The sequence below is a fragment of the Homo sapiens genome, chromosome 16 (assembly GCF_000001405.40).
Source record: "Homo sapiens chromosome 16, GRCh38.p14 Primary Assembly".
Classification (NCBI taxonomy): Eukaryota; Metazoa; Chordata; class Mammalia; order Primates; family Hominidae; genus Homo; species Homo sapiens.
The window spans coordinates 62837896-62855234 of NC_000016.10; the positions used below are offsets into that span (position 1 = coordinate 62837896).

Consider the following 17339-nt stretch of genomic DNA (forward strand, 5'->3'; position numbering starts at 1 on the left):
GATGGGATTCAGGCATCAATGTTTTTTAGAACTCCCTAGGATAATCAAATGTAAAGGCAAGGTTAAGAACTACTGTTCTAAACAAGGGTGCTATGTTCAAAAGTACAGAATTGTTGCTCATAAATACATATGGATTGTAGGAAGGATAGCAGGTTGTTTGTATGTGTATACACACAAACGCATATATAAAGTATATACACACACATACACACACACATATATAAAGTGTATACACACACACACATATATAAAGTCTCTTAAAGATCCAAGGATTTCTGTGTCCAATGTAAAACAATTTTATCAGGTTTTCTAACTCCTTATTTAAAAAAATTCTTACAGATTGTTGACATAGCTATTAATGATCTCCTCCAGGAATTCTTGCTAAACACACAGTTTTGCATCTAGAAAATCAGGGAACATAAAAGGGACATTTAATTTAATCATATATTTTACATTATACATGTCTGCCTATCTGTCTATTCATCTGTCTATTGATCTATCATTCTAATAAGATAAATACAAGATTACAAGAGAAGGGGAGCCTGACTTTTGATTTGTGTATGACCCCATGTTATCAAATTTTGAAACAGAAAATATGTTAGTAAGATAAATGTATAGGCAATGCTACAGTGTTTGGTCAGAAGTTGGGGGATGCTGTGGCCAGATCTGTGTTTACTGACTTGTGAGGAGGATGGATTCAAGGCAAGGGACGTTAAAGGCAAAACATCGGTTAGGAGGTAAGTATAATTGTGCACATAAGAGAGGATAAGGGATAAAATGACAAGCTTCAGTGGAAATGTATATTCAATGAGACTTGGTGGTTGAATACATGTAAAAGACGGGATAGAATTTTCCAGGACCCTTGAAAATATTAAAACGTGAAATTTTGAGGAATGTGTTTCAGGTCTGTGATGTATATCACAGTGGTCTCTCCAGGCTGCAGTTTTGTTGACAATAACTAAATATCTAAATGCTGACAGACAGGCGGGAATAATAACGAACTTGCAGATAGGAAATATCACATTTTTTTTTCTGTTTTTTCCATCTATACGTTTTGTTTCTGTATGTGGAATACAACCATACAATCTGGAATTAATTGTACCTTCTTAGTGGTAATTTCTAACATTTGTATGTTAATGCTTCTGTTTTTTGACATGTTCCACTGGCTAAAATGTCCAGGGCAATACTGGATGATAATTGGCTGTCATTGTCAATACCCTTTTTGAAAATAATGGTCATTAGCTTCGAATATTTAGCATTACCTGATGACTTTTAGGATAAGTTCTGGGTAATTTCTCTTGAATAAAGTTGAAGTGTCATGTATTCCTCCCATATTTTAAAATCTAAGAATGCATCTGTTTCATCTGATATTTTTACAATTCTTAAAATCTGGGACTAGATGTTATTTTTCTCTAAGTTTTGAAAATTTACATTTTATCTGATGTTCTTCTCCGGATATTTGAATTATACTCAGTTGTATTATCTTTATTATTTTTCTATTTTCTTATTCAGTAGCTCCAGCATATAAATACAAGACCAGTAACACCAGTATCACTTATGACTTGTGAGGAGGTCTGAGCACGGTGGCTCACACCTGTTCCTAGCACCTTGGGAGGCGAAGGTGGGAGGATTGCTTGAGCCTAGGAGTTCGAGACCAGCCTGGGCAATATAGCAAGACCCCATCTCTACAAAAAAATTAAAAATTAGCTGGGCATGGTGGCAAACACCTGTAGTCCTGGCTACTCTGGAGGCTGAGGCAGGAGGATGATGGCTTTAAGCCCAGGAGTTCGTAGCTGTAGTGAGTTATGATCATGTCACTGCATTCCAGCCTGGGACAGAGGGAGAGTATGTGTCTTAAAAAACAGCAACAATAACGAATAACTTGTAAGAAATGCCAAATCTGAAGTCCCACTCCAGACAAACCAAATTAGAAACTTCAAGAGTGGGGCCCACATTTTGTAGTTTACTAAGTCCTCTGGGTTATTTAGATGTTCACCCAAGTTTGAAAACTACTATTTCTGTTCCTTACGGAAGTTTTTTATTTAAAAAAATTTCTTCTTCTTGCTGTGCTTCAGGTTTTTGTTTTTAAAATTGTTGCTTTTTATTTACTAATTTACTGAGAATCTATTCCTCACTTTTATAAATTACAAAAACACATGATTTCTTTTTTATTCCCAGTGCTTTAGTGGGACTCTTTTTAATTGACATGTGTAATAATAGTACGTATTTATGCAGTAGAGTGTAATTTTTTTTTTTTTTTTTTTTGATGGAGTCTCATTCTGTCGCCCAGGCTGGAGTACAGTGGCGTGATCTCGGCTCACTGCAAGCTCCGCCTCCCGGGTTCATGACATTCTCCTGCCTCAGCCTCCCAAGTAGCTGGGACTACAGGCACCCACCACTATGCGTGGCTAATTTTGTTTTGCTTTGTTTTGTATTATTAGTAGAGACGGGGTTTCACCGTGTTAGCCAGGATGGTCTCATGTACATACTATGTAATTGTCAAATCAGGGTATTTAGCATATCTATTATCATACATTTGTGTGTGTATGTGTGTGTGTGTGGTAAGGTGAGAACATTCTAAATCCTCTCTTCTAGCTATTTTGAAATACACAGTGTAGTATTTTTAACCACAGTCATCCTACTTGTGCCATAGCACATCAGAACTTATTTTCTCTATCTTTGTATTAAGATTTTTCATTGAGGGATAATTTGTATACAGTAAAATGCACAGCTCCTAAGTGAAGATGATAAGTTTTGGCAGTTGAATACTTCCAAATAACTACCACCCAAATTAGAATTTAGAACATTTCCATGACCAGGATGCCTTCTTATAGTCAGCCTCACCATTTCTCAGCTTCTAGGCCACAACTTTCTGATTCTATTATCGTAGATTGTTTTTGCCCATCCTTCTACTTCCTATCAACAGAATCAGGTGCACCTTTGCTTCTTTCATTCACATGATGTGTTTGAGATTCTTCTTTGTTGTTACATAAATCAGTTGCTTGTTTCTTTTTTTTGATGAGTAGTATTTCATTCTGTTAATAGACTGGAATTTGTTTCTCCATTTTCCAGTGGCTAACCCATTTGCGTTATTAAGTGTTTCGGCTGCAATGAAGAAGGCTGCGATAAACATTTTTGTAGAAGTCATTTTTGGTGGACACGTGCATTCATTCCTCTTTTGATAAGAACCAATGAATTGGTTGTTAGTTAAAAAGAAGATTCAAAGGGAAAATGAGTGTTCAACTTCATAAGAAAGCTAAAACAGTCTTCTAAAGGCACTGTACCTTCCTATACTCACACCAGCAATGTATGAAAGTTTCATGTGTTTCACATGCACACTCACATTTCATATTGTCTTTTTTTATTTTAGGAATTTTAGTGGGTATGGCAGATCTCATTGTGGAATGATACTTGTTTTAAACATTTGTTTTCAATAATAAATGAGTTTAACACTTTGAACTTGTTTCTGGATTTTATTTTGCTTAATCTTATTAACACATAGTTGTATTCACATATTTTATTTTTCCTAGGCTTTTTTAAAATTGAAATGAGTAATACCCCTATTTTTGTAGATGATTCTTGGAGCAGGAGCCAATTTACTTGCTCACAAATTTGAGGGTAAGAAATTGAGGGAAGGCACAGTGAGGATGGGTTTGTCTCTGTTTCACAAGGCAGCAATTGGGGTAACTCGAATTGCTGGGGCCAGTTCAGATGCATCTGCAGTGATCATGCGTCTGGGTCTTGTGATTTACATTGTCTGTATCTCTTGGATCTTGTCCAGTAGCCTCTTCATATGGTTAATTTGGGCTTCTCGGGCATGATAGTCTCAGGGTACTTAAAAATCTGGCTTTCCTCAAGAGACAAAAATCAGAAACTTCTAAGTCTTAAACCTTAGGGATGGAACTTACATTTCCACCTCCCTCTATTGGTTACAGCAGTTCTCATGCTTAGCCCAGAATCAACGGGAGAGGACTACACAAGGACATGAATACAGGAAGAAATCATTTATTAGAGTCCACCAATGTAACAGACTACTAAAGTTTACATTATTAATACGAAACTAATAACACAGGAGAACGAAAAATATGTTCAGAAAATATCAACAAACAAAAAGAAATGAGAAATTGAATTATTACTAGCAGACAAAGTAGACTTGAAAAAATACATTGGGATAAAAGTCTCATTTTATATTGCAAATAAGTTAATGATTAAAAAACTAGTAATCTTTAAATTTTATATGCCAAATAACATAATGATGCCATATAAATAAAATATGCTGATGCTTTAGGAGAAATTTTCTAAAAATGCAAGTATGGGAAACCTATTTTTGTAGCACAAATCAATGACTTTATTAATAAAGTTGATATAATAAAAATACGTGGAGAACAATACACCCTTAAAATTTAGCACATCTTGAACAGAGAAGTATTTGCAAGCTCAATACTTACTACAAAAATAATTTGGATATTCTTTACAGGCCATCTCACAGTAGTGCATCTTGGTTCTGTTCATATCTTCCTCATTTTAAGGTGGGTAGTTTATTTCCACTGACTCCAAAGTTTTGGTGTTTGATTGCACTCTGTCTTCTGTTATGAAAGATTTTATTATTCCTATTGCCTAGAAAGTTTACCGTTAAAAAACATTCATTTCTAAATACTTCGCAATAACGTGTAGTTTTCTCTTTGCCAGAAGCACTGCAGCACAAGCTACAAAATTCAAAGGGCAATGTTTCATGGCCTGATCCCTCCTCGGTCTGACACGCCCTTGCCTGCTTACCATTTCCCATGTTAGGGTTGCATTACTGAGAACTCTAGTCTCCAAAGAGATATATTAGAGAGAGGTGGTGGTTGAGTATGTGGGGAAAATGAATGACCCTGGATAATCAAGAGGCAGAACTCATTGCAAGGGAAGATGGGTTGCAAGATTTCTGATAGGTAGTGTCTGCTTTTGATTAACAGTGGGTACTCAGTAACAACGTATGATCATTCCCTTCCCACTCTATTTTGCCTCTAGGCCTTCCTGTGTTTTGATATTAAAATTATCTGTTTTAAAAAAAGAAAACAAAGAAATTATCTGTTTTGGTTTCTGTCTCCTCCTGGTTTGTCAGCTCTTTGAGGCAGAGACCATAATGTATTCATAGTTCTCCACCTGATATATAGGCTCAATGACTGGTATATTGGAAGCAAACAGTGAATGTGCATGTGCCATATCCCCATTCTCACCAAGAAACAAAATAAAACAGAACAGATACAGAGCTCTACATCGTATTACAATAGAATAGGATCATTGAAAAGAATTTTACTAAAAGCCAAAGACATGAAAGTAGTTTTCAAATGAGAGGCAGTGAGTAACTAAAAGGATAGCAGAGGTCAAAATCTTAGAGTTTTAGTGATGGGCTTGAAGGCTTTACAGCTGAAAAGAAAAATCCCTAATAAAGGGATTAGCTAACCATGAGTCTGATGAGTAGGAAGTGGGGCCACCTTCAGAAGCACGTAGAAGAATTGATTGTACTTTCCTATCTTCAGTTTTTCTTCAGTAGCAGTAGTTTTGGTTTTAAATATACATATACATGTGTGTCTATGGATGTGTATGCCTTCAAGGTAATGTGTGCCCCTTCTATGGAACCAACAGTTGAGAGATAAAAAGCCTCTAAATTTCCCCGAACTTCAACACTGATAACATTTTAAATACACTTGTCATGTCTATTCTCTATATACTTTTTTTTCTAAAATATTAAAATAATTTATACATGCACACATACCCAACAAATGCTTTTCAATCCTTTTTCTTTGGCTTTTTATTATAATTTTGTACTTTTTAAAAGTCATATATAAATGACTAAATGATAATCCAGCTGTATGGATATTATAATCTTTTACTTTCCTAGTCAAACATTTTCATTATTTACTTTCCTAGTCAAACATTTTCATTGTTCTTTTGTTCTTATTGTGATTTTTGTTTTCTTTTTCTTTTTTTTTTTTTGAGATGGAGTCTCGCTGTGTCACCCAGGCTGGAATGCATTGGCCTGATCTCGGATCACTGCAAGCTCCGCCTCCCGGGTTCACGCCATTCTCCTGCCTCAGCCTCCCGAGTAGCTGGGACTACAGGTGCCCACCACCATACTCGGCTAATTTTTTGTATTTTTAGTAAAGACGGGGTTTCACCTTGTTAGCCAGGATGGTCTCGATCTCCTGACCTCGTGATCCACCTGTCTCAGCCTCCCAAAGTGCTGGGAATACAGGTGTGAGCCACTGCGCCCAGCCCTTATTGTGATTTTTCTATCTGAGTTCTTAAGCTTGCTTCTGGAAGCATCTGAGACTTAGAAAAACAAAAAGAGAGAATAGTGAAAATGGGGCTTCCTCACAAAATTAAGGTGCATGATTTTTTCTTCTCCTACATGCTGAATGTAATATTCATACAGTAGCAAATAATCTACATTTTCTTAGACACTTTTTCTTAGATAAATTAGTTTTTCAAATGACATTGATGTCTTTGTCACTATAAGTGGCATTCCTGAACCAGGTTTCTGTTGGATTTTTGTGAGTCCCAAACCCTCTTTTAACAGAATCATTTAAGAAATTGTTTTAGCAACTATTCTGTCATTTTTTTGACATCTGGATTTGTTTTCCTGCAAGTCTGTCAGAAGACAAGTGTAGATTTATATGTAGACATACTATGAAAACTGCCTATTCACTGAAAGTAATATATGTGTGCTACAGCTTTATCATATTGCCATTGTAACCTTTCACATGCTTGCCATTAGAGAATAAAGTCACTTTTTAAGAAATGGAATGCCAATTAAAGTCCAAGAAGTTTTTTGAGAAGTTGATCCCCTTGTTTAAAAGTTTGGATCTTATACCTCACAGATTATTCTCAGGAGATCAGACTAAAATAATCTCTGGGTGTTAGCATAAAATCATAATCCAAATGCACATAAGAAAAATGGAAATAGGACTATGTAGAAACACTGAAGAACTAACCGTTTTTTCCTGTGTAAATCTGATTTTCAGTAGAAATTGTAGTTATGTTTTCTGTATTGCAATATAACACAAATTGCACTGAAGTCATTTCAAAGGGCACTGAGTTCATGCACAGTTTTCTTTAAAATAACCAGGGAGATTCAACAGAAATAGTGTGTACTGGCTGGATTTCAAAGAGAAATACATATTCTACAGAGTTTATTAGTTGACTCTTACTTCCAACCTCATCATTATGCTAAACAATTTAAAGAAAGATTAGTTGAGCTTTTACTATGTGCCAAGGTCTATGTCACATTCTCTGCATTCATTATTTTATTCGATTCTCAGTCTTCCTGAGAAATAGACAGTATTTTATCCCAGTTTTAGAATTGAAGATTTCAGATTTAAAATCCTAAAAGAGCTTGCTCAAATTCATATTGCTATTAAATTATACAGCTGGATTTGAATCCCAATCATCTGAAAACGTAGTTCCTCTTTTTTTTTTTTTTTTTTTTTTTTTTTTTGAGACAGAGTCTTGCTCTGTGGCCCAGGCTGCAGTGCAGTGGCTTGCAATCTTGGCTCACTGCAAGCTCCGCCTCCCGGGTTCACGCCATTCTCCTGCCTCAGCCTCCCGAGTAGCTGGGACTGCAGGCACCCGCCACCACGCCTGGCTAATTCTTTTGTGTGTGTGTGTGTGTGTGTGTGTGTTTAGCAGAGACGGGGTTTCACCTTGTTAGCCAGGATGGTCTCGATCTCCTGACCTCGAGATCCACCCGCTTCGGCCTCCCAAACTGCTGGGATTACAGGCGTGAGCCACCGCCTCCGGCTTCCTTTTCTTAATGACTATGGTGAGGTGAGGTTTGCTTAACCTCTATCACCTTTCTCTAATAGTACATTATCAATATCAGGACATTAATACTGGCAAAATACTAAGAACTAGATTACAAAACGTATTCAGGATTCACCAGTTTTTGCATGCATTCACTTCTGTGTGTGTGTGTGTGTGTGTGTGTGTGTGTGTGTGTGTGTCTGCAGTTCTGTGAAATTTTTATCACATATTTAGATTTGTGAAAACACCACCTTAATCTACTCAGTGTTTTACTTCTGAGGAGAGTTATAGCTTGTACCTAGGGCTTAATTTAATTATATGCATCACAAGCATGGAAATAAGACAAAAGTAATCTTTGCAAGGTTGGAGTCAGCCTCATCATGGCTGAACAGGCTTAATCTCAGGCATCCACAACAAGGGAAACTATGGTGGAGAATAGAACATAGCACTTTGAAAATGAACGGGGAGTCTCAGGAAAGTCACAATTAGGTGACTAATCTAAGGAGACAGAAGTAGGATTTCAAATGGGACTCAAATTTTACTAATTTGCCAAGTAGTATTGATGGTAGTGCATCCACAAGAGTCTTAAGTTATTGTCGAAAATAGAAGTGAAATTTGTACAGCTTTTCTAGTTACTATGCATAACAAATGTGAATGGGTAGGACTAGCTTAAAGGAATATAAAGTTGTAATGGACAATTTAGATTTCAGATTTATTACACACATGATAGAAAATGTGTTCTAAAACCTGGTACAAGAAAAATGACATCATTTCTTTGTTATAGAATTTAATCTCCTCTATATTCACACAGAGCTACGTGAAGAGGGCACTGGCACCTCTCTCTCCCAAGGTACTGCCAGGCTCTGATTCTCTGTGTTAAATGAAGGTCAGGGAGGGTGAGTTGAAGAATGGTGGATTGGAAATGATCATAAACTTTCTCAGCAATGAAAATGTTGAGTCTGTATGCATTGCAGGGCTGAACATTTGTTGGAATTTCAGATGAAGTAAAAGTAAATAAATAAAAAACATAAAAGTGCACAAATCTGTCAAAGTTATTTTTGTGCTTTCTGCATCTGGAAAACTTTCCCTGCATCCTTCCCATTTCACTATTTGGCCTTATTTATGAAATATTAACATATTCATTTAATGTGCAATCCCCAGACATATTTACACTCCCTACGTGGAAGCTTTTCTAGGACATGCATCTTGTGTTAGTCATATTATTCATTTTTTTATTATTAGGGTATGCTGAATTCACACATGGTAGATGTTCAATAAATGTAGGCTAAATGGAACAAGAATGATGTTTATTGAATCCTTAACAAGTGTTATAAGAACATTTAGCACACAGAATACTCAAGTATGTCTTTCTATTAACAGTGATTAAGAAGGTCTTCTATAGAGGAATAAGCTAAGTACCATGAAGAGCACTCAACAAAGTAAGACCACCCAACTATTCAATTAGAGATAGAGAATTTTTTTCTGAAATCTTTGATGTGGCTCAGAATATACCACCCCAAAATATGCCGTTTTTGCATAAAGATTACTTTGAGCTGAAGGCAAATGAGAATCAACAGATACAGCGAGATGCCATCTGAGAAACAAAGTTTACCAGAAGTCTCTCCTCCCAGGAAAGTTTTGTGGCCATAAAAGCTGAAAGTTGGCACTGAGACGGGTCTGCAAACAAATCTTATTAAAATAATCTTTATCTTCCGCCAACTTCCTTCATATATTTCCTACTGACTTCTCCACAGTTTTCTGTTGTTTTGTCTCCACAATTCATTGAATTTATTGAATTTTGGAGACAAGACAATTTTTCTTTAATTAAAAATTATATAAGCTCTCAGGGCTAGCTGCTTTTTGGGGTCTTTTCTTTTTGACACAGAGTCTTGCTCTGTCACCTGGAGTGCAGTGGTGTGATCTCATTTGAAGTAATACTCTTGCCTCAGCCTCCCAAGTAGCTGGGACTGCAGGTACACACCACCACATCTGGCTAAGTTTTGTAGTTTTAGTAGAAACAGGTTTCACCTTGTTCATCAGGCTGGCCTTGAACTCCTGACCTCAAATAATCCACCTGCCTTGACCTCCCAAAGTGCTGGGATTACAGGCATGAGCCACCGCGCCTGACTATGGTCTTTGTTTTTCTATGAAGCCCTCTGTATGCAGATGTAAGAATGAAACTTTACTCCTGTTAATCTGTCTTGTTAGTCTAATTTGCAGGGTCCCAACCACTAAACTTAAGAGGTTAGAGAAAAAATTTGTTATTATTTTTCTCTCTTGCAGCTTAATCACATTTACTTTTTCTGGGGGGAAAATGATCTAATTTAATTAATTTTATTTAATGAGAACCAAAATATGAATCAGGGATTTTTTAAATGGTGTATAAATAATTAAAGTAAGAAGTCTTGTTAATGGAAAATCCCAACTATATGGATGCAAATAATAATTTGGAATTCAGGAGCAATCAGGGGAAATCTGCCAAGAGTTATTTTAGGGAAGAATAGCACACATTTGATTCTGTGTGAAGCAGGATAACAAACAGCACTGCTGTTGATTGGAAAGATTTACAGAACCACTTAGAAAGTAAGAAGCTGCTTATTCTGAAAAAGTGAAGCAGAACGTCAAGGAACTGTTGCAAAGGTATCCTTTTGCCTCTAAAGGCTGCTTAGGCTGATCTATATTCCTCATTCTTCTCTTCCCTCTTCCCTCCATCCCCCAAATGTTCCTGTAGTCCAGCTCACCAGAGTTTGGTTTTATAACCTCACCTGGGAAAACTGAGGAAGAAAGAAAAAAGAATAAAGTGAAAAAGCAGGATTTCAAGATGAAAATAAATGAAACTATAAAAGGACTCGAGGTGGTAGAGGAATAAAGTTTGAAATAAGATGACAGATTGTGAAACTCATCGCAGGTATTTGGCCTAAAAGCATAACGAACTCTAGTTCTGCCAGGCTTGTTTTATGACCAATGCATTTAAAAGGAAAAGTAAAAAAAAAAAATCAGCTATTAAAATCAGGATTTTGAAGGGGAAGTAGTAATTGAAAAATGTGTCTTACATCACACCAAGTAAAAAGAAAAAATGACAGACAATAAAATTGCAGCCACGCAAGTCATCTAACAGTACTCAGATCATGCATATGTATTGACAGGGTTTGATAGGAGACATGTAAATTTAGAATGCTTACATTTGTTAAAGTAATGACATTATTATTGGAATGTTTTTTCATTATGATATTCATCAATGTCATAATGGAAGTTGTACAATAAATATGATGACTTTTAGCAGAAGAGAAAAGTCGCTGTTTCATCCTGTGTTCTCCCAGTAAGACAATTTGACGAACTTTCTTGGATTTCAAATATATACTTTGTAAATAATTATACATTTTATTTACTACCAAATGACTCAGAGTTCTTTTAGGGTATAGCACAAAACAAAACAAGCATTTGGTGAATTCTTAGGATCTGATAGACACAATTGATTAGTTGGATCCATAGGAACATGTCAGAGTGATTGCAATTTTCCCCATAGGCTTAACCTATTCCTACTGTGGCGATTTTCCAATTGTGCCAGTCAGATTTTTATAAAACAGAAATAAGATTTAAACTGATCTGATTTGCTATAACATTTACACAAAAGCCAACTTTGTGAAATTTATTTCTGAGATCTTTACATTTCATTCCACTGCTAATGTCAAGGATGCCATGAGTATAACAAACTGTCCTATCAGTAGGAACTTTGTACCAAGAAAGTCTGTAGCTTAAGTGAGAGAAGATATCAGGTCCTCCATTAACTGAAGATATTGAGCAAACAAGTATTTAATATCTTCTCTGAGCAATTTTAAAATCAGTAAAACATATCTGTCCCATTTAGAACTCTAGATTGTGGTAAGAACCAAATGAGGCAATGAATGTAAAATGGATTTATAATTTTCAAAAGTTGATGCAGATAGTCTTGTTATTGTAATTGGCCAATAGTGATTTGTAATAACTGAATTACTCAAGTATGTTGTCTTCTGACCTTTTCATCCTCTGAATAAATTTTGTCACTAGAAAAGTAGTATTTGAAAAATGTCCCATAACCCTTGGAAAAAATATTATGTAGACTTCATCATTTTATTTAGCATATAACATGTGCCTCATACTCTCACACAATTCAGAATAAAATATCATACATGTTGCATAACCATATATTTGAAGTTTATTTCAAAGTTAGTCAATAAATAACAAAAAGTTGATATTGATCGAGGATTTTAAGTATTCCAAGGTAAATATTTTACTGTATTTTATTCTGTTTTACTTTTATTATAACACATTTTAGCATTTTATAAAAAGAACAAGACATTAATAAAAGCACCTGAAAATTCTATGCGAACATTTTTAATTAAAATAACCAAGTATATAAGGTTTTTATAAAATGATGAAATTACCTCCTTTAATAATCATGTAATATGTTATCTTTTTTAATCAAACTTTATAAAAGAGTCTTGGGAAAGATGGAAGGAGGGAAGGAGGGAAGGAAGGAAGGAAAGAGAGAAAGAGAAAGAGAAAAAGAGATGAGGGACAAGGAGGGGAGGGAAAGAGGGAGGGAAGGAAGGAGGGAAAGAGGGAGAGAAAAAAAGTTATCCTGTTAGCACATCATAGAGAAGAATTCTTATGGTATAGAAATGTCCAATTTGGCAGATTCCACAGTTTTACAAATAAATAGAAATATCATCATGCAGAGCATGTGGCAGGAAAAATATTTTGTAAAAAACTTTTAACAAAAAAAAATTTTTACTCCAGGCCTTGAAAGAAACATAAAAGAAAGATTTATATTGATCAGAGCTTGTAAGAATCCTGGCCGGGTACAGTGGCTCACACCTGGTAACCCCAGCACTTTGGGAGGCCGAGGTGGGTGGATCACTTGAGGTCAGGAGTTCTAGACCAGCCTGACCAACATGGAGAAACCCAGTTTCTACAAAAAATATGAAAATTAGCTGAATGTGGTGGCACACACCTGTAATCCCAGCTACTTGAGAGGCTGAGGCAGGAGAATCACTTGAACCTGGGAGGCAGAGGTTGCAGTGAGCTGAGATTATGCCACTGCACTCCAGCCTGGGCAATAGCGTGAGTGAGATTCCAACTCAAAAAAAAAAAAAAAAATCCTGAAATAAAAGTGACCAGTCTTGATACAACTCACATGAGATTTAATTGGAAATTAGATAAAAGAATCAGTAAAAGAGAAGAAACAGAAGAAGAGAAAACCATACAATACTTAAACTCATTCCATCTAAGGAGGTCACCCAATTTTAGGTTTGCTAGGACAGTGTCATAGTTTACCATCACTGGTATGGTTTGACTCTGTGTCCTAACCCAAATCTTATCTCAAGTTGTAATACCCACATGTCGGAGGAGGGACCTGGTGGGAGGTGACTGGATCACGGGGGTGAATTTCCCCCTTGCTGTTCTCATGATAGTGAGTGAGTTCTCACAAGATCTGATGGTTTAAAAGTGTGGCTCTGTCCTCATTGCTCTCTCTCTGTCTCCTGCCTCATGTAAGATGTGCCTGCTTCCCCTTCTGTTATGATTGTAAGTTTCCTGAGGCCTCCTCAGCCTTGCAGAACTGTGAGTCAATTAAACCTCTTTTCCTTATAAATTACTCCATTATCAGGCCATTCTTTATAGCAATGTGAAAATGGACTAATACAATCATCTACCTGAATTGAGTTTGATATAATTTAGAAAACACAGAAAAATTTTCAAATTTTCCAATTTCCAAATGTGGGGAGGATTTAGGACCTTAGGATTCTAGTTTTCACACTGGAGTTTTTCAAACGTTCTCCTAATTTGAACTACCTTGTAATTTTTCTCTAAAAAGGCACTGTTCTAATGGGCACCAAGTATAGGTCACAATGGTTTATCTCGAGAATCTAATAGTCCAGATAATTTAGATTTCTCACTTTCTAGCTCTACTGAGGGAACATCTAACCTCTCTAAGCCTCAGTTCTGTAATTCAGAAGTGTTGATGCTAATATCTACCTACTTTGCTCATTCGTTTGTTAATCTATTCATTCAACATTTACACAGCACCTACTGTGTTCCAGGCACTATCAATGCAACAAGGAAAGAAAATAAATATTTTTTCTTTCATGTTTTAGATGAACACTTAGGATAAAGGATAATTTTTCCAGAAAATAAACTATTAAGTAACGTAAATATCAGAAAATTATAAGACATAATAATATAAAACATAATATTCTATTCTAAAGACATGGTCTATTCCTTTAGACTATTTTAAAGACTTTTTTAATGAATTGTAATGCAAACTTTTTGAAGACCAACATCTCTGTCAGTTTATGCATGATACATTTAGCTGAGTTTTAATATTAAAACTTTTAGCAAATTTCTTTGAAATGTTATGTGGCATTAATCCTCATCATCACTCACACTCAGAAAAGACTTATTCTGTGCCTGTCTCTTTATCTGGTTTACCTTGCTCAGTCTTCAGAGCAATACTACCAGAGGTCATAATTTTTTCTCTATTTTTCAGATGAGGAAATATTAGTTTAGAAGATTATATTGTATGTCACAAAGCTAGGAAATGGTAGAGAATGGAATGTATACTGCCAGATTCTACAGCTGATAATTTTGAAAAAAGAACTATTCCATTTATTTATGCATTTCAATGAGTTTTTTAATTGAATTCTTTCTTTTATAGTATGTTTGTTCTCTGTGAAGTGGGCTGTATCCAGTGGTGTGCTAATAAACTGGCTCTCCAACAACAACAACAAGAAGCACCAAATTATAATATTTGTTGATTTCTGTTGTTTAGACACTTCCTTATTAGCCAATCTCAAGCTATCTACAAGATGCCACCGAATGTGGAGCTGATAAGAAATGCACATAATGATCTCTTCCAAGCTGGTATAACTAACTCTAGCATACCATTGTCTGTGCTAGTAATCAGGTATTATATTACAGCTCCTTCCTAATAATACTGGAATTGGAATCTAAACATTTCTCCTTTACCATCTAGCTCTAAGTTAGGGTTTGTGCATAGAAGGTATCTGATGGGCACAGTACTGAACTAAAGAGCAGGAGGATGGGGACACTCTCTCTGGTTCCAATATGCTTTCCTAACACAGGAGCCAGCAGATTGATAAGCAAAAGGTAGCAGCTATGACAGGAAGTTTCTTTACCACTTGGTGAGTGGTTTCTATAAACCAGCACTGACCCTTTCCCTTTGGGGCATTTCTTTGTCACCCCAGCAGCTCATATATTCCTGTGGCACCCTTATCCTCCTCAAGAAGAATGTCAGCCTTGGATGGCAGTGAGGGCAATATCTTCAAAATTCTTAGCTCTTGTTCACTTTTCCTCAGCCCACATGTATTTGCCGCTTTCTGCATTTGCAATTTCTGGACCTCTTAGAGTCTTTTAGTACTTAACCCTCTACTGAATTCATCACACCATCCCACAGTTTAAATTATTGCTGTGATTTCTTTCTCTTTTTCTGGACACTGATTGATACATGAACTTAAAATAACCAAACAAGCAAATGAAAAGCAGGATGCAAATCTTTCACCTTTGACTAAAAATATTCCTGTGTCACCTCTGAGGTCTAAGTGAAGCCTTCCTTTGTGCTCTGCATCATTCTCCAAACAACACGAGTAGTTAGATCTGGGATTAATAATAAAATAGCAATCAGAATAATACTAATAATGCTAATAGCATGCAGTGTTTATTACATATGAAGAATGTGCCAGGATCTTTGCTGTGAAATAAATGATTCTAAAAGTCCTCCTTTGAAGTGTGTAGACATTTTAAAGATATAAAGATAAAGAAATTAAGGCCAAAAGACATGCAGTTAAAAGACAGCAGAGCCAGTGGCTCTAGAGTTTCCTCTCTTTACAGTTACACTCTGCTGCTTTAGCAAATGCTTTTCACCACAATTATTAAGATCTTAACTCTGAGGAAATATCTGCTAGAAAAAACAGAAAAGTGAATAATAACTTTAATTCCATTATGATTTATTCTATTTTTTTTTTTACTTTAGAAGTTGAGAAACTTCTGGAACTAAAAAAAATACAGCTGCTTTCTTAGTTTCTTGTCACAAGTTCCACTTGAAGTAATGTCTTAGAAACTAGCAAACCTGCTTTATTTTGTGAACCCTAGAATTTTCCCAGCTTATGCTAAGAATAAAAGAGCTGCCAAATTCATTAATTACCTTTAATATTCAATTTTCCAGTATAATGAATTCCATCTTCACACATATCTGAGAAAATTACATTGGAAGGTTAATATATTGCCTTTTGCTGGGTTTCAGTGAATACCTCACTGAAGGCAGAAGTCAGCCTGAAATCCTTGGCAGACTCATATTCATTCTTCTAGCCACCTGCATCAGGTGCCGACCACACTCATGCCTGGACATGCCCTTGGCCCTGCCACTTTCATACCGTAACCTAAACGCATGATGCCAATGGCACAATATAGTTACTGCTTTAGACCTTGGCAGTAACTGCTGCTTTAGAGCTTGTTAGTATCAATGGTACTTATAAAATATATCATCTACTTCACTCCATTCCCCATCCTCCTTGCACCTAAGCAGGGGCATGTGACTACTTATGGCGACTGGACTGTGGACAAAAACATTATTTTCAAAAAGAAGTACTGAAGAGTCACTCGTCGTTTTCCCTGCTGTGTGATCACAGAATATGCTGATGGCACAGCTACAATAGGGCTTCTCAACTTTGATACTACTGACATCTAAAGCAGGTAATTCTGAGTTGAGGTTAGGCATGCGGGTGTCCTGTTCAATTTAGGAGGCTTAGCAGTATCTCTAGCCTACACCAACTAGAAGTCAGGGTTATCCTCTCCAGTTGTGACAACAAAAAATATATTTTGGCATTGCCAAATATTATCTGGGGGAGGAAATTGCCCCAATTTGCAGTCCAGAGATCCATCGAGCTACAAGATAGTGAAGCCTCCATCAGCGTGGTTCTCTGACATGATAAATGGAGCTGAATATATCTGTCATCCATACTGTGTAACATAAGTGATGTTAGAACACACCCTCCCAACAAACATACACACAAATAAATACAAAAAAGGCAAAAACAAAAACGATAAAATTTTTTATATTAAGCCAATGAGATTTAGGAGTTGTTACTGCCATAAAGCCTATCCTGATTAATAAACACTCTATATGCACTTTTTCCAGACAAATTTATCAATGTGTGTTGTTTCAATTATCCTCTGATGATTGATTTATTTTTAAATTTTATGCCCGATTTCTTTTCTAACATTCTTAAACGTTATCCATCTGCCACCCTGACATCAACTAGTAGTGATAATAAAGGTACTATGAATGTGTATACTTTTTTCCATCTAATCCTTCTTTTCTGATACAAGCAAATTTGGAAAACTAGGAGTCATCCTCATCCCCTCTCTTTGCCTCATCTGGCAGCTGGAGTTTACCTCATAAGTATCTGAAACTCTCATCTTCTTTTTCTATACCTTCTACTACCACTCTAACACAAGCTATTATTACATCTGGTCTGAATCTCTTCAATAGCATC

The 17339-nt window shown here is 36.1% G+C and overlaps 1 annotated feature.

Moving 5' to 3' along the window:
* Window positions 15451–16650: an enhancer, noted in NCBI's record as "MED14-independent group 3 enhancer chr16:62887250-62888449 (GRCh37/hg19 assembly coordinates)". NCBI's record gives its function as "activates an origin of replication core promoter dependent on BRD2, BRD4, P300/CBP and CDK7 cofactors, and independent of MED14, by STARR-seq in HCT116 cells {active_cell/tissue: HCT116}" and the evidence as "EXISTENCE:reporter gene assay evidence [ECO:0000049][PMID:35650434]".